Here is a 17626-nt window from a genome sequence, read left to right on the forward strand (position 1 = left end):
AAAGGTGGGGACTAGCCAAGTTTAGGAGCGAATTAGGTTGTAGAAACCCGCCTCCCCATCTCCCCGGATCCTCCCATTGACCAGGATAGGGGTTGAGGGATTTGCTAAGCAGATGAACATTTATTTATTTCTTTTTTTTGAGACAGTCTCTGTGTCGCCCAGGCTGGGGCTGGGGAGCAGTGGCGCGATCTCGGCTCAGTGCAACCTCTGCATACCGGGTTCAAACCATCCTCGCCCCTCAGCTCCCTAATTAGCTGCGATTACCGGCGCGAGCCACCACGCCCGACTAATTTTTGTATTTTTAGCAGAGACGGGGTTTCACCATGTTGGCCAGGCTTGGTCGGGAACTCTTGACCTCAAGCGATCCACCCGCCTCGGCCTCCCAAAGTGTTGGAATTACAGGCGTGAGCCACCGCGCCCAGCCCGGATGAACATTCCTGGTTATGGGATGAGGTGACCCAAGGCTCTGAGCCGGGCTGGTGTGGGATTGAGAACAGTTAGAACTGCAAGTCCACCTCCCACCTGCTGTGTGACCTTGTGCAAATTACTTCACCGCTTTGGGTCTCTGTGTTCCATAAAATATGGGCTAATTGTAGTCCTGGTCTTGCTGGAGGGACTTGTGAGGGACTGAACGAATTATGACACAAATAAAAAGTAGAATGGTGTCAGGCCTGTTGTAAGGGCTCGATAAATATTAGCTGTAATTATTGGGAGTGGTGATTAAAGAGGTCCCATCCTCCCTTTAGGTCTGTTTTCCCATTTATAAAATTGGACAAGGTGCACTGGGTAACCTGCCAAACGTGGGTCTCGCCTCCTAGGTTCCTGGTATATCACTGTTTCTGGTGGCATACAGGTTGTGGTTGTATTCCCGGCCCTTCCACTTGTTACTGATTGACAAGGGCAAGTTAGTTAATCTCTCTAGGCCTGTTTCCTCTTCTCTTTAATGGGGTTAATTACCTAGTTCATAGGGCGGTTGTATGAATTCTTTTGTTCAGTAAATATATGCCATGTATGAGATATGATGCTGGGGATATAGTGGAGACACCAGTTGCTATACAGGATCCAGATGTGAAACAGGTCAGCAGAGCTGAATAGATGAGTGTTTGAAAAGTGATGGGAAGGAAACAAATAGGATGTAGTGGTAGCGAATCCATATTGAATTGGGCCTCTATTCTGTGCAGGGCGCTGTTCTAAGCACTGGTATATAGCAGGAACAAGACAGAAAAAACTCTAGGCCTTGGGGAGTTTATTTTGTAGTGAGGAGAGACAGACAATAAACAGAGTATACTGGGGATAAGCATTAGGGAGACAAATAAAAATAAGAGAGATGGGGTATATATAGGGCATGCAGTTTTAAAGTGTGGTCAGGGGAGGCCTTGTTGAGATCCTGTTTGAGAACACGCCTGAAAGCAGAGGGCACAGCAAGTACAAAGTGGGGTGGGGCAGATCCATTTTAAGAAGGCCAATCAGGCAAGGCCCCTCTGAGGATGCAGAGTTTGAGAAGAGATTGAAAGAAGGTGGGGGAGAGCCTCCCAGGAAGAGGGAACAGATATGTAATGGCCTTTTTTTTTTTTTCTTCTTTTTTTGAGACGGAGTCTTGTTGCTCTGTTTCCCAGGCTGGAGTGCACTGACGCGATCTTTGCTCACTGCAACCTCCACCTCCCGGGTTCAAGCAATTCTCCTGCCTCAGCCTCTTGAGTAGCTGGGACTACAGACGCAGGCCACCACGCCTGGCTGATTTTTGTGTGTGTGTTTTTAGAAGAGACTGGGTTTCCCGGTGTTGGCCAGGCTGGTCTCAGACTCCTGATCTCAGGTGATCCTCCTGCCTCGGCCTCCGAAAGTGCTGGAATTACAGGCGTGAGCCACTATGCCCGGCCAGTTTTTTGTTTTTTTTAACTCCAGGATCACTTCCTTCAGCTATCTATCCTCCCATCTTTTCATTCATCCATCCATCCACTAACCAGCAGACATTTGTAGGGAGATGTCTTTGTGCCAGGATCAGAGCTAGGCAGCTTACCGGTTTATTCTAAAGAATATTGCAAAGGATACAGATGAAGACACATGCAGGGTGAGGTGTGGGGGAAGTTGTGTGGAGCTTCCATGCCCTCCCTAGGCATTCCACCCCCCAGGAACCGCGAGGTGTTCATCTGTCTGGAAGCTCCTATGGCTGCTTTTGTGCTACAGCCCAGAGTTGCATGGTTGTAACAGAGATGGCCGCAAAGCTTCAAATATTTGCTGTCTAACCCTTTGCAGGGAAAAAATTGCTGACCTCTGACTTAAACCATCTGCGTAACAAATTATTGGGTGCTTGCTCTATGTTAGGTACAGTACAGAGGAATATCACTGACGATCTTACTGAATTCTCACAATCACTCTTTGAAGTAGGTCCTGTCCTTGTCCACATTTTCCAGATGAGGAAACTGAAGCACCATAAATAACATGGCCAAAGCTGTGCAGCTGAGAAATGAAGGAGCCAGGAAAGGAAGTAGGACCTAAGGGTGGAATAGAATCTGGGGTGGGACACACGGTTGCTGATTATATTCATATGCCAGACATTTTAATTGTGTCTGAGACAGTTCAGGATACTAGAAGGAACATGGGACATGAAATCCTGTAGTCTTGATTTATTTGTTCAGCAAATATTTATCAGCACCTCCTGTGTGCCAGACTCTGTTTTAGATACTAGACATACAGTAGGGAACAAAACAGCAAAGCTGCCCTTGTGGGGTTTACATTCTGGTTTGGGAGACAGATAGTAGATCTGTAGTGGGATGTCAGTGGCAGTAATTGCTAAGAAGAAAAATTGCTGGACGTGGTGGCTCAAGCCTAATTGTAACACTTTGGTTTTATTTTATTTTATTTTTTTTGAGACAGAGTCTCACTCTGTCGTCCAGGCCGTCTCTGCTCATTGCAACCTCCGCCTCCCGGGTTCAAGTGATTCTCCTGCCTCAGCCTCCTGAGTGGCTAGGATTAGAGGCGCCCACCACCACATCCAGCTAATTTTTGTATTTTTAGTAGAGAGTGGGTTTCACCATGTTGGCCAGGCTGGTCTCAAACTCCCTGCCCGCCTCTGCCTCCCAAAGTGCTGGGATTACAGGCATGAGCCACCACCCCTGGCCAATTCTAGCACTTTGGAAGGCCAAGGTGAAAGGATCGCTTGAGCCCAGGAGTTTAAGACCAGCCTGGGCAACAAAGTGAGACCCTGTCTCTACCAAAAAAAAAAAAAAAATTAGCTGGTGTGATGACACAGGCCTTGGTCCCAGCTGCTCAGGAGACTGAGGTCGGAGGATTGCTTGAACCAGGGAGATCGAGGCTGCGGTGAGAGCCTGGGCGACAGCAAGACCCTGTCTCCAAAAAAAAAAAAAAAAAAAAAAAAGAACAAAATAAGACAGGTACAGGGAATAGAGCAAGCACCTGGGGCTGCTTTGTTAGATAGGGAGGTTAGAGAAAGCTGCTCTGAGGAAGTGATGTTGAACAAGGATTTGAATGAAATGAACAGGTCGTGGAAGAGCAGTCTGGGCAGAGGGAATAGTTGGTACAAAGGCCAGGAGTGGGAGGATGCTTGATGCGTTCAAAGCACAGCAAAAAGGCCAGTGTGACTGAGGCAGAGAGAATGGCAAAGTGGTGGGAGGTGAGGACTAGACCAGGACTAGATCAAGTGAGGCCTGTGGGCCAAGGTGAAGGCCTTGAAGATGGGAGGGAGGAGGAGGAATTGCAAGGCTTTCAGTAGTAATTATGGGTTCTGGTATAATTTTAAAGGATCCTTCCTCTGGCTGTCATAGGGGTTGGGCCCTGTTGAGGTGCCATTACAAAGCACCCAGGACCAGTGTTAGCATGCAGGGGGGAAGTATGGTTACAGTCAGGACATGTTGAGGGGGGCTGATGGGATTTGCTGGTGGGTAATGTAGAGGGAAGAGTTGAGGGTGACTGAAGTTTGAACCCCCGCTCTGCCAGTTGTGCTCTCTGTGTGCCCCTGGAGCAGTACTTTCCCCTCTTTGGACCCAGATTCCTCATCTGCAAAATGGGGATAATGATGAAGAATCAGCGTGTGCCTGGTTGTGAAGATGCAGTGAAATTGGCTTGCTCATTGTTCTGCGGTAGTCATATGGTGGGGATTGAGCAGACCTGAGGAAATGGGGCATCTGGGGAACCGTGTGGGACCAAGTCAGCAAGTGCTAAAGCCTGGGTTGGGAATACACTGGGCTGTTTGTTTTTTTGGTTACTATCAAGGAAGCAGTTGTGACAAGCCAGGCCCAGTGAGAATGGATCAGTAGACTAGGGTCAGATTGTGTTGGGCCTTGTAGGCCAGAGTAAGGCCTTAGCTTTTATTCTGAATGTGCAGGGAAAACATACTACATGTGGGATTATACCATATACATTCATATTATGGAAGGCTCCATGGGTTGAATGCAGGGTGGATCTTCAAAAGTGGGTCCCCTTTCCACAGGTGCATATAGTGGGAAGGCGGATTTTATTTATTAACTCACCACAGAGCAGGCTCTGTGCCGAGGCCTGCTGGGACACAGAGAGTCCCAGTCTAGGGTGGTAAGTGCTGTCATGGAACCATATGGGTGGACTCTTTGGAAAATCCCAATTCCTATTCTCTCACTTAACACAACAATCAACAACACAGAAGAAGACTTCCGTGACTAAATGTGTGTTGGGGTGGGGAGGGATTCTTCACCACCACTAAGCAAGCATTCAGTTCTGCAGCACACGCCAACTGGATGTCCTCCAATTCAGTTCAGACACGACCTGGAGACAGTGTTGGATCCAACAGGTTGAGGGCTCAGGCCTCAAAACTGCCCCTTGGCCCTCGCCTTCAGTTGCCATTCTGGGTCGTCAGAACTTCTGATCTACCTGCTTCAAGTTGGAGTTCCCATGACCACCCTGCCTTTGGGTTTGATTAATATGCTAGAGCAGCTCTCAGAACTCAGGGAAACATGTAAGTTTATCAGTTCATTATAAAGGATAGTATAAAGAATACAGATGAAGAGAGGCATAGGGTGAGCTATGGGGGAAGGGGTGTGGAGCTTCCATGCCCTTCTTGGGTGCACCACCCTCCAGGAACCTCTGTGTGTTCGGCTATGTTGAAGTTCCCAGGCCCTGTCCTTTTGGGTTTTTATAAAGGCATTGTTAGGTAGGCAGGATTGATTAAACCTGGTGATCACCTTGACCTTCAGCCCCTCTCCGATCCCTGGAGGTTGTGGGGTGGGACTGAAAATCCCAACCCTCTAATCATGCCTCTCTGTTTTCCATGACTATCTTTCCAGTGACCATGGACCCCATCCTGAAGGTATCAGTCAACATTAGCATACAAAAAGCGCCTTGGAGATTCCAAAGATTTGAGGAGTTGTATGCAAGGAAATGGGGATGAAGCCCAAATCTGTATCTCACAGTATCACAACTGTAGCAGGTGCTTGGTGGGGACACACTTGGGAGATAGTCAGTGCACAGGGAATTCTCAGGATATGACATGATCAATGGCCAGTCAAGGTTTCTGAAATGATATTAATAGATTTTCTATCAGGAATGTGACGGAGACCCCAACCTAGAGTTGTTTAAACAAGTAAGAGTTCTCTTTATTTCTCATATAGCAAGTTCAGCAGCTCAAAGCTATCACAGAATTGGGTCAGCTCAAAGATATCACAGAAATGCGGTTTTTTTGACTGGCCTGTTTTGGTTATAAGATTCCAGCAGCATCTGCTGTCCTAGTGGAACTGCACTTTTTAGTGCAGTTTAGCAGAGGCCAGCTTAGGACACAGAGGTTCTTTCCCTCCTCCCTTTTATGAAGGAGGAAAATCTCTCCTGAATCTCCTCAGCAGACTTGCTTGTATATCTCTTTGCCAAGAACTAGGTCATATGCAGAGTTAGTTGAAGTTAAGTTTGGCTGTAAGTAGTAGAAAAACTCTAAATAACAGGGGCTTAAATGAGCTTGAAGTTTCTATCTGACTGATGACCAAAATGTCTGGTGGCAATCCAGGCTGCTGTGGCACTTCATGGTGTCAGGGTCCCAGGCTCTTACCATTATGCGCTGGTTGTATCCTCCATTCTACCCTCCGTGTCCCCCAGGTTACCTCAGGTCCCCAAGTTGGCTGCCGAAGCCCCAACCATTATAGCTCCATTCCAGACAGGAAGGAGGGAAGATAAGTGTGACCCCCATCCCTATAAGTTGCACAAAACATTTCCACTTGGATTTTATTGGCCAGATGTTAGTTTTATAGTCACATTCAGATGCAAAGGCAATTCAGAAATGTCTTTTCCAGGGGTCATGTGTACAGCTGAAAACCAAGGATTATGAACAGCAGTATAGCCCCATGCAGGAGCTCCTAACTTGGGGATCATCTGCAATTCCCAGGCAGGTCCATGAATTTGGATGGCAAAAATAACATCTTTATTTTCATTAACCTTTAACTTACATTTAACTTCCCTTCTGTTATAGATTATAATATCACTATAGTATATCATAGGTAGCGTTAGCAAAACCTGTGACTTACCAGTGGAAATCAGGAGTTGTGTTCACATGTCATTTCTGCTATTATACATATCTTCTAGTGTTGTTTATGTTCACCTCTTTCAAAATTGCGTTCATTATTAGACCTGCTAAGGGGATTCATGGCACCACCCCACCCCTCTACAAGAGAAAAACCAAAAAAAGCCGGGTGCAGTGGCTCATGCCTATAATCCTAGCATTTTGGGAGGTCGAGGTGGGAGGATTGCTTGAGCTCAGGAGTTTGAGGGCAGCTTGGGCAACATAGTGAGGCCTCATCCCTACAAAAAGTTAAAAAACTAGCTGGGCTTGGTGACACCTGCCTGTAGACCCGTCTACTTGGGTAGCTGAGGCGGGAGAATCACTTGAGCCCGGGAGGTCAAGGCTACAGTGAGCTACGATTGTGCCACTGCACTCCAGCCTGGGTAACAGAGTGAGACCCTGCCTCAAAACAACAACAAGCACAACAAAAAAGAAAAAACAGAGCAAATATGAATCCATAGTACTGGTTAAGAACCTGGTGGCTGGGATTCAAATCCTGGCTTTACTACCAGTAAGCTGTATGCAGTTAAGCTCCCTGTGCCTTTGTGTTCTCTGCCTCAAGACGGGGGATTCTGTATTTCCCTCATGGGATTGTGAGGGTCAAATGAATTAAAACATTAAAGCCTGGGGCATAGTAGAGACTAAGGAAATATTTACTGTTATTATTCTGTCATGGTGAAAAAAGGGAAAAGAAACATCAGTGGACCAGCTGCCACGATGTCCTTCTTAATAATCTGAACAAAATCAGGATGCTGTCAGTGAGGCGTGGTTGCCACGGCTGCCATTATTAATCTTCCCCTGGTGCTAGGGTGTCCCTGTAGAATGTCATTTTGTACTCAAGACAACCCTCTGAGGGTAGGTATTCTCATCATCCCCACTTCACAGATGAGAAAATTGAGGCTCAGAAAGGTACAAGGATTGCCCAAGATTCCACAGCTAATATGTAAGCAGTTTAGCCTTGAACCTGGACAGTGCAGCTCTGTAGTACCACCCTAGGCCATCTTTCTCAAGCATTGATGATGCTGTCTGCCTGAAGAAACACTTTTAATGAAACCAAAAGCAGAATCCCAAAGAACAGCAGTGGAAGGAAGGGAGCTCTCTGGATGGGAAAGCAGCCTGATTGTCATGGGCCCACCTCTTGGGCATCCCCAGCTTCAAGTTGGGGTTCCCACGACCCCCTCTTTGGGTTTGATTAATTTGCTGGAGCGGCTCACAGAACTCCAGGAAACACTTAGGTTTACCGGTTTATTATAAAGGATATTCCAAAGGATACAGATGAAGAGGTGCATAGGGTGAGCTATGGAGGAAGGGGCGGGGAGCTTTCGTGCCATCCCTGGGGATGCCACCCTCCAAGAATGTGCATGTTCTGCTATCAGGAAGCTCTCTGAATCCTTTCCTCTTTGGTTTTTATGGAAGCTTCATGATACAAACATTTTTGCCTAAATGACAGTATGATATTGAAATTGAGTCAGGCTGCCTGGCTTCATTGCTTTCCAGTAAGTGACAGCCTCACCTCTGTGCATCAGTGTCCTCACTCGCCTCTGTGCATCAGTGAAGTGGGGACGCTGCTAACAATACATACCTCAGAGCAGTTATGAGGATTCAGTGTGTTAATCATCCATGTCAATCACTTGGATTGCTGCCAAGCACGTAGCAAACAATAAATGTTTGTTGCTATTGTTCTGGCATTTATGATTATGATTATTAATTGTAATTATTCCCTGTACCATCTCATTGTCCTCAGGGCTGTTGCTCACCTAGTATGGCCCTAGCCCATGTGTATATTTCCCCATAGCTCAGGCTGAGAGAAGAACACACAGATCAACTTGGAGAAAACAAAGAGGAAAGAAATAGGCAACTAGGTCAATACTCCCCACAGTATTTTATGTTATTTTATTTTATTTATTTATTTATTTGAGACAGAGTCTCACTCTGTCACCCAGGCTGGAGTGCAGTGGCACCATCTCGGCTCACTGCAAGCTCCACCTCCCAGGTTCACGCCATTCTCCTGCCTCAGCCTCCCGAGTAGCTGGGACTATAGGCGCCCGCCACCACGCCCGGCTAATTTCTTTTTGTATTTATGGTAGAGACGGGGTTTCACCGTGTTAGCCAGGATGGTCTCGATCTCCTAACCTCATGATCCGCCTGCCTCGGCCTCCCAAGGTGCTGGGATTACAGGCATGAGCCACTGCGCCTGGCCTCCCCACAGTATTTTATTATGAAAGTTTTCAGACATGCATAACTTTGGAAGACTAACACAAGGGTCAGCAGACTACAGTCCATGGGTCCAATTCAGCCCACTGTCTGCTTTTGCAAGTAAAGTTATTGGAACACAGCTATGCCTGTTTGCTTCTCTAGTTCTGGTTCTATGGTTGTTTTCAGTGCCACGCAAGCAGAGTTCAGTAGTTAGGTTTGCAAAGCTGAAAATAATTACTGTCTGGCAATGTATAGAATAAGTTTTGCTGACTTCTAGCATAGTGCAGTGAGCACCTCTATACTTACACCCCAGGTCAGTGATTGTTAGTGTTTGCTATATTAGTTTTTTATCTTTCTATAGGTCTGTCTCTATATACGTTTTATTTTTTAGCTGAAAATCAGTTGCAGGTTTTGTAGTACTTTATCCTGAGGTCCGTTTAATGCCAGAATGGTGAGTTTTTGGACTACCTGTATGAAAGATTTACTGTGTGCATTTTTCTGAGGAGAGACCATCACAACACTTCATCAGATGCTCATCGTCTGTGATCGCAGAGATATTCTTCAACTCCTGGACCGGAGAACCCAACTCACGCAAGATCTTAGTCACTTGTAGACCTCGTCTCAGTTATGTAGGGCCTCAGAACAGAACAGGCTAAGGGAGCTCCTGCTCCTCAACCTCGCCCTGTCCCTACCTGTTCTGCCTCTATCCAGGAAGAAAGGTCCCCCGTGGGACCATTAGTCACTCTCCCCCTCATGAAAGCATTTCCTCCCACTCTCACACTCATGAGCTCATTCCATTCTTGTGACAGTGCTGGGAGCTATTAATAATAGGAGAGGCCTCGTGGTGATGAAGAAATGAGGGGAGAGTTTCACAGTCTGTCCTGCCATCAGAGCAGCTGGCTTTGGATCCCACACTCCCTCGGTGCTTGCTTTGGTAGGTGTCTTTACCTCTCTGATCGTCACTTTCCAAAGTGGTGAAAAGAGGATATTAGCCATGCTTTTCTTTTAGGATCTGGAGGATCAAATGAGGTCCCAACATGTAAATGCTTGTTGTGAGATCTATTATGTGTGTTAGCCAAATATAATAGTTCTCTAGGACTGCCACAGCAAATCACCATGAACTGGGTAGCTTAACACAACGAATTTATTCTCTCACAGTTCTGGAGGCCGGAAGTCTGAAATCAAGGTCTCGGCAGGGTTGGTTCCTTTTGGAGGCTCTGAGGGAGACCCATTCCATGCCTCTCTGGAAGTTAGGACTTCTGGTGGCTCCAGCAATTCCTTGTGTTCCTGGGCTTGTGGATGCATCTCCTGGTCTCTCCACCCATCTTCACATGCGTGCCTTCCCCTCTGTATCTGTCTTCCTTTCTGTCTCTTAGAAGGACACTGTCACTGGATTCAAGGCTAACCCTCCGTTTAGGATGATATTATCTGGACACACTTAACTACGTCTGCAAAGACTGTTTTGACGTGCACGTCACTGGATTCAAGGCTAACCCTCCGTTTAGGGTGATATTATCTGGACACACTTAACTACGTCTGCAAAGACTGTTTTGATGTGCACGTCACTGGATTCAAGGCTAACCCTCCGTTTAGGATGATATTATCTGGACACACTTAACTACGTCTGCAAAGACCGTTTTGACGTGCACGTCACTGGATTCAAGGCTAACCCTCCGTTTAGGATGATATTATCTGGACACACTTAACTACGCCTGCAAAGACTGTTTTGACGTGCACGTCACTGGGACATAACTTTTTGAGGCTGCTATTCAGCCTCCTGTACTGGTGGTATTATTACTACTGCTAATGCTACTCTTGTTTTTGTAGTCATTTTATTACAATAATTTTTTTTTCTCTTTGAGACAAAGAGTCTCACTCTGTTGCCCAGGCTGGAGTGTTGTTTGTTCTTTTACAATCACTTAGCCAGCAATCCTGGCTTTAAATCCTGCTCCATGTGATCTTAGCTGTCTGACCCTGAGAGGGGCTTTTGTTCCCCGAGCCTGTTTCCCTGTCTGTAAAATGGGACTCCAGCTAGTGACATGGGTGCAGGTGTGTGGATGTGTTTAGCCGAGGACCGGGCACAGAGGAAGCGTGTTATAAACGTGGCTGCTGCTGTTAAAGTACAGTGCATTGGCATGTTACATGATACTGTGTATAGGAGAAAGTGATGAAGAGAGAGGAGGAGAGGGAGTACAGTTTTCAACAGAGTGGTCCTGGAAAGTGCAACTGAGTAGGTGTCACCTTCATAAGACCCAAGGGATGCTTTTGCATTTGTTGCTGCTGCCACTACTATTGTTGTTATTTAATGATTCCCTCGAGGTCACAGGGTCTCTTGGTGGGTGTTTGCCAAATTACTCTTGAGCATCTTCACATGTAACCAAGCAAGGCTTCCAGGGGCTGACTGGGTTGAGAGCTGTCAGAACTCACGCGTGTCTGGGATTTCTAACATTCTCCCCTCCTCTTCTTGTTCTCTCATTAGCTTCGCCTCAACAGCATCAAGAAGCTGTCCACCATCGCCTTGGCCCTTGGGGTTGAAAGGACCCGAAGTGAGCTTCTGCCTTTCCTTACAGGTAACAAAGGGGACCCCTGGGGCCCAGATGTGGGGACTCTTGGGAGGTGGTTTTCACTATATAAGAGAAGACTTGTGGATTTAACATATTGTTTGTGAATATCTGCCCTGTGTTAGACACTATGGAGTGGGAAAAGGGATTCAGAGAAGTGCAGTCTTGCTCTAAAAGAATGGTCTGGAATGATGGAGACAGATGGTGAAAGGGATCTAGAAGCAGGTAGAACGAGGTTTGAGTTGCAGCTCCAACAGTTGGAAGCTGGTGACTTTAGACAAGTTAGTTTACCTGTTTCTTATATTTTTCATCTGTAGATTGGGATAATCATCCATGTGCCAAAGTGTTGATCTGAGCATTCAATGTTAATAACAATTGCTAATACTTATGATATGCTTACTGTATGCCAGGTGGTGTTCTACACCGTATCTTGTGAGGATTGAGTTCATATAAAGTGTTTAGAAAGCTGCCTGTACTCAGTAAACATACATCACTATCATTTCACCCAGTTGATCTCACAGCAGTGCTTTAAGCAGGTAATACTGCTGTCCCCATGTTATAGATGAAGAAACCAAGGTGTAGAGAGGTGAAGTGATTCATTTGCCCAAGGTCATGCAGTGAGGAGGTAACTGAGAAGGGATATTTATCTAGTCATTCTGGCCTTTAACTTGACAGCATTGGTTAATGACTGATTTCAAATCTGAGCTCTACCACTTTCTAGGTGTGTGACTTTGGGCAAGATATTTTACATCTGCCTGCTTCAGATTCTTCACAGGTGAAATGGGCATAATTATGTAACCTAACATGAAGACTAAATAAGATACTGTAAAGTGCTTATAACACTGTATAGTACGTGCCGCCTAAGCGATAGCTGCCAGGCTGTTACTAAGCACTGCTGTTTGTGAGGATGTAGGTAAAGCATTTAATACACTGTCTGACACAGACTGGACCACAATTAATAGTAAATTCTCTGTTATCATTATTCCCATTACTACTTCATATTTTATACTTATTACCAGCTGAAATCACAGCTGAAGGTTCAGAGTGCTTTGTCACTAAACTCTTGTGTATGGGAACATCTTACTTGGACCTAGTGATGATCCTGGGGAGGAAGGAGCTTGAGATTGTTACCCCTCCCCACACTGGACAGATGGGGTATTGGAGCCTAAAGAGGTGCAGTGACTCGCCTACAGTGGCACAGCTAGTGACTGAGGGGTGCAGGTGTGTCTGACTGGATGGTGCATGAAGAGTAGGTGTCTGCTCGTATGACACTGAACAAATGGCCCCAAACCAGGTGGCTTCTATTGGTGAACTGTTGGGGAGACTTGAAAGCTTTAGAATGCTGAAGCATGGCAGGATAATAAAGTGGTGAAGAAGTTGTAGAGGAAAAATGTTGGACCTGGGTTTGCAATAAGCAGCTCTGCCACTGACTTGCTAGGAAAACCTGAGTAGGTCACTCCACCTCTCTTAGCCTCATTTCCCTTGTCTGTAAAGGAGTCTAATAAGAGGAGTACCTAACACTCGGGGTGTGTAGGGAAAACTCTGTGACTTTCCTCTACTTTCACACCACAGCAATCATAACACAGAACATGACTTCTGTGACCATATGTCTGGGTTTTTTTCCCCAAACTAAGCAGTGGACAGCAGCTGGTTGTCCTCTAATTCAGTTCTGACACGTCTGCCCAGAGACAGGTTCAGATCCCACAGATTGATAGCTCAGTCCCCAGGACTGTCCCCAGCCCTGACCACCAGTCGCTGGTCCTGTGGAACTTCTGATTGATCAGCTTCAAGTTGGGATTCCCACGACCCCCTCTTTGGGTTTGATTAGGCTCATAGAACTCAGGGAAACACTTATGTTTACTGGTTTATTATAAAGGATTTTGCAAAGGATACAGATGAAGAGATACAGAGAATGAGGTGTGGGGGAAAGGGCCTGGAGCTTCCGTGCCCTCCCTGAGCCCACCACCCTCAAGAACCTCTATGTGTTTCACCATCTGGAAGCTCTCTGAACCCTCTGGGTTTTTATGGAAGCTTAATGGCAGAGGGTCCTGAGTGGAACGGAGGCACCAGCCATGTGGAACTCTGTGGGAAGAGCATTTCAGGCTGTGGGGAGAGGCAGATGTAAGCTCAGTGTGTTGGAAGAATAGCAGTGAGGTAGCCATGGGTTGAGCAAGATTGTTAAGGGAGAGTGAGACTAGGACATGAGGTTGGAGAAGAACAGTGACCACAGTATGTGAGATCAGGTTTCTTTGAAACTATTGGCAGATTGAAATGAAAGAGTGTCGGGATTTCTTTTACACCTGAAAGAGTCACTCTGGGGTCTGGGAGATCAGATGGTGTAGGGGCAAAGGTGGAAGCAGGAAAACCAGGTAAGAAGCTGTTGCAGTCTCCCAGGCGACAGCTAGTGATGATCAGAGTGACCTTAGTTTGGGAGGGTTGACAGGCTTGGCTCAGAAGGAGCTGCCAACCCTTCCAAGAAGGATAGTTCTCTGTGGATTGGTGGAAAGACAAGGTGCTGGCAGTTCCCAGGTGTTTGGCCTTCAGCAGCATTGCTTGGCTATAAGGTCTAGACTGGAGATAAAGATGAATAAGAATTGAGTCCGTGGATACGCATAAGGTCTTCAGGAGACAAAGAAAACAGGGAGGGTGGTTTTAACTGTGTGCAGAGGGAGCCAGGGAAACTGAGGCTGGGAACGAGCCTAAGAACAGTGTAGCTGGAGTCACATTGGCGAGAATTTATTTATTGAAGGAAGAGGCAGAGATACTAACCCTCCTACTGGGCCCTGTGCTGAGCTCTTCAATGAAAGCATTTATTTCCCTTTAGTCTCCGAACAACCCTATGAAGTGAGAACAGCCCTGTGGTGATTTAGGGGATGACAAAGGCTCAGAGAGATGAAGTGAGCTGCTGTATAAGCAGCCAACAGTAAAGCAAGATTTGAACCTACCATAAAATGGAGATGATGATAATGACTCCTTAAATGAGAGGGTTGTGGTAAGGAGGTGATGCAGAAGTTGAACCCACCACTTACACTCACACCCCTTTGGCCAGAGCAAGGTTACGTGGCCTTGCCAACTGCAAGGGCGTCTGGGAAATGCAGTCGGCTGCTGGATTGCCATACACCCAACTTAAATGCAGGAGGTTTAAGTGCCAATAGATGCCAGGGATATTAGCAGCTTGTGCTGTGCAGAGATCAGCAGTTCCCACTGCCTCAGGGATGAGAGGATGGAGCTTAAGAGAGAGGCCTTTGGATGTGGGCATTAGGGACAGAACGGATTTTCCCTTCACATATTCATTCTTTCAGCAAACCTGAATTGCTGTCTGTCTGTGCTCAGCTCTGGCAGGAACTGGGGCACAGAGAGGAGCCAGTCCTGGGCTCGCTGATTATAGCCTATGTTAAGGATGTGGTAAAGGTGGCATGGAAGGAGAGAGAGACTGAGCCCAGAGAAGGTGTAGCGGACATCCTAGAAATCTTCCAAGAAGGGGCGGCTAAACTGAATCTCCAAGGATAAAAATAAATTTCTGGCAGAGGGAACAGTGCTGAGGGGAGAAGCTGGACCCCAAAAAAGCTCTCGTTGACCATGCTCTGCGCTTTATACACCTAGTCATATTTGCTCCTCACTGTAACCGTTGCTACGAGGGAGGGATGGTGAACACCATTTTACAGACGCAGAAGCTGGGACTCAGAGAGGTGGAATCACTCAGTCAGTATTTCACACCCGCTAGAGGGCAGAAGCAGGACTTAGGGCTCTCTTATCCCAGCCAAGCCTGTACCTTAATATCTGTGGCAGCCCAGGTGGAGAGTGGGGGAGCAAGTGGGCGGATGGAAGAACTGAGTGCTGACAGCCTGAGGAAGCAGAATGGAGTCCATGTGTTCTGAGCTTGGGCTGGGGTCAGAGTTGAGATGGGATAGTCACGAAGTCTGTCTTGGTTCCACAGATACCATCTATGATGAAGATGAGGTCCTCCTGGCCCTGGCAGAACAGCTGGGAACCTTCACTACCCTGGTGGGAGGCCCAGAGTACGTGCACTGCCTGCTGGTGAGTGGAAGGCAGGAAGTCCTCTTGCCCACCCCTTAGGGTCGGCCCATGGTCCTGCCGGCCTAGGGCAGGGAGGGGAGCGTGTCAGAGAGCGTGGGGATCACGTCAGAACAGCCGGGCCATGGACATCCGCTTTAATCCAACAAGTCAGGAGTGGCTTTTAATATCGTGAACTCAGGGTGCAGTTATCATCCTTTCTGTTTAGTGGTCAGGTAGGTGCCCAGTGCCAGGCCTTACCTGGGATTCTACATAGGGCTGTGGGTTTAGAGTCAGGTTGGGTTCTACTGCTTATTTGCTGTGTGACTTGTAAGAGAATTACTTACCCTCTCTGTGCTGTACCTTTCTCATCTGCACAATGGGGTTATGAAAACCTTTTTAAATTACCTTGAAGAGCCCTAGCACAGTACTTGGCACTTAGTAGGTACTAACCGATGTTAACTGCAATTGTCATTATTGTTGCTGTGACATCATATCCAGCCTTTGGGGTAGGAGGGATTCCCTGTTTATGGGTGAGCCACCTGGAGCACTGAGAGGTTAAGCGTCTCTTCAGATTGTATGACTAGTAGATGGCAGAGCTGGGATTCTTGGTCTGTCCATTTGACTGTCTGCCAGGTCCCCACCCCACTGCCTGCCTGTGTGTCCCGTGCTAGGTGATGGCCAAGGACACAAAGATGGGCCAGATCCCAACAAGCAGCGTTGTTTGAGAGAAGATGATCTGGGAAGGCAGACCGTACAGGTTACCTAGTCCCCTGGTTTTCACTGTTCTCAGAGTGCTGGGCCACTGCTGCTGCCTCTGCCTCTGCCCCACTCCCCCAGTGATTGTGTATTTCACTGTCGCTAGAGATACAATGTGGCACCGGCAGTTGATGGTGTATTAGTTAGCAGCAGCCTTTCTCCTAGCTCTAGTGGTGTATAAAGAATGGTGCTTATCATTGTTGGGATCTTGGGATTTGAGTAAATATAACAATTTGTTTCTTCCCAAATAGCATTATGTAAAGAAACTTGATAGTTACCATTAAATTCGGATATCTCAGCCTTCATCTGGGCATATGTGTATAATTTGTGCGTATGGACACACAGAAAATTGTATACAAATAGATCGTTTCATACATTTTACACAAAACAGGGCTTAACATGAGCATGATGAGGTTTGGGGGCCAGCCTAGAAGGGGTTCCTTGAATTTCACAAAATTATCTGTAGCCCCTGCCTGGTATTTGTCAGGTGGAACTTCTGAGCAGTGAATTCATAGCTTTCAGTAGCTTCTCAGAGGACTTAGGAGCAGAAGACATTATTTTTATGAAACCGCAAGGCTTCAACAAGGGCCCCCAGGGTCTGCAACTGAGGTTGGGACTCAGGCTTGCTGTGGAGCTGGGCTGGGACCCAGGGATCCTTCTCCTACCTGGCCAGGGTCTCCCAACAGAACATTCTCAGTGAGGAAAGTCCCAGTCAAGCCACGCTTCCTTTTGGGAAGCAGTTCCCTGTGACCGATGTGCCTGACGTTCATGTCAGCCAGCAGACACATCCTGGGGCTGTCTGGGCCAGGCAGTGCTGGAAACCAGAGAAGAGTTAGATCAGAATAGCTTGTGCTTGCTCGTTGCCTGCAGTGCACATCCCAAGAGCCTTACACAGTTGTATACTGATGTTAGCTGTATTGCCCAGATGAGGAAACTGAGGCACAGGCAGATTTAAGTGAATTGTCCGAGCTGGGAAGAGGCAGAGTCCAGATTCGATCCCAGGCCCCTAATTCTTAGCCACTCCTATGTGCTATCCTCAGAGGGCTCCTGGTTGCTTTCAGAGCTGTAAACAAGGGAGGCAGGGGGGTCCTTAAACCCAGGGAAGGCGCCTAACCTGCTTAGGTGGGATGGGAAGTTGTCAGGGAAGGCTTCCTGGAGGAGGTGGCTGTTAACCTGGATTTTGACAGGTTATAAGAAATAGAAAATGGCTTTGTGTAGTTTCTTCATTCCACAAACATTGAGCAAGGTCTCTAGGCTATGGAAACCCAGAGATGTGTCAGACCCACTCCCGGCCCTTGCTCTCAGCAGTGGTGAAATGGAATTAATTACAGAGACTCCTGTAGCTGCAGTGTAAGGATTGTTTTTTTGTTTGTTTTGTTTTTTTCCCGAGATGGAGTTTCACTCTTGCTGCACAGGCTGGAGTGCAGTGGCGGGATCTCGGCTCACTGCAACCTCTGCCTCCCAGGTTCAGGTGATTCTCCTGCCTCAGCCTCACGAGTAGCTGAGATTACAGGCGTGTGCCACCGCACCCAGCTAATTTTTGCATTTTTAGTAGAGACGGGGT

General features: G+C 47.1%; 1 protein-coding gene across 3 annotated transcripts in view, besides 2 other annotated features; it reads left to right on the plus strand.

The window, feature by feature from the left end:
• PPP2R1A (protein phosphatase 2 scaffold subunit Aalpha) overlaps nucleotides 1–17626 on the plus strand; it is a 39467-nt gene that overhangs the window by 685 nt on the left and 21156 nt on the right. The window contains exons 1-3 of one of the 3 annotated variants that reach the window (NM_001363656.2): nucleotides 10460–10958; nucleotides 11208–11298; nucleotides 15227–15327. Coding sequence is in view for 1 of the 3 variants with exons in the window: in NM_014225.6 (NP_055040.2) it covers nucleotides 11208–11298; nucleotides 15227–15327 (192 nt within the window). In the remaining 2 variants the exon portion in view is untranslated. Of the gene's footprint in view, nucleotides 1–10459; nucleotides 10959–11207; nucleotides 11299–15226; nucleotides 15328–17626 lie in introns of those variants that run through there. The other 2 variants (NM_014225.6, NR_033500.2) reach the window with 2 other exon arrangements.
• Nucleotides 1283–1412: an enhancer, noted in NCBI's record as "active region_15042". NCBI's record gives its function as "activates an Ori minimal core promoter by ATAC-STARR-seq in GM12878 lymphoblastoid cells {active_cell/tissue: GM12878}" and the evidence as "EXISTENCE:reporter gene assay evidence [ECO:0000049][PMID:35858748]".
• Nucleotides 1764–2264: an enhancer, noted in NCBI's record as "H3K4me1 hESC enhancer chr19:52695753-52696253 (GRCh37/hg19 assembly coordinates)". NCBI's record gives its function as "activates a minimal SCP1, AML or CMV promoter by ChIP-STARR-seq in naive H9 embryonic stem cells {active_cell/tissue: H9 hESC(naive)}" and the evidence as "EXISTENCE:reporter gene assay evidence [ECO:0000049][PMID:30033119]".

Source organism: Homo sapiens, chromosome 19, assembly GCF_000001405.40.
Source record: "Homo sapiens chromosome 19, GRCh38.p14 Primary Assembly".
Classification (NCBI taxonomy): domain Eukaryota; kingdom Metazoa; phylum Chordata; class Mammalia; order Primates; family Hominidae; genus Homo; species Homo sapiens.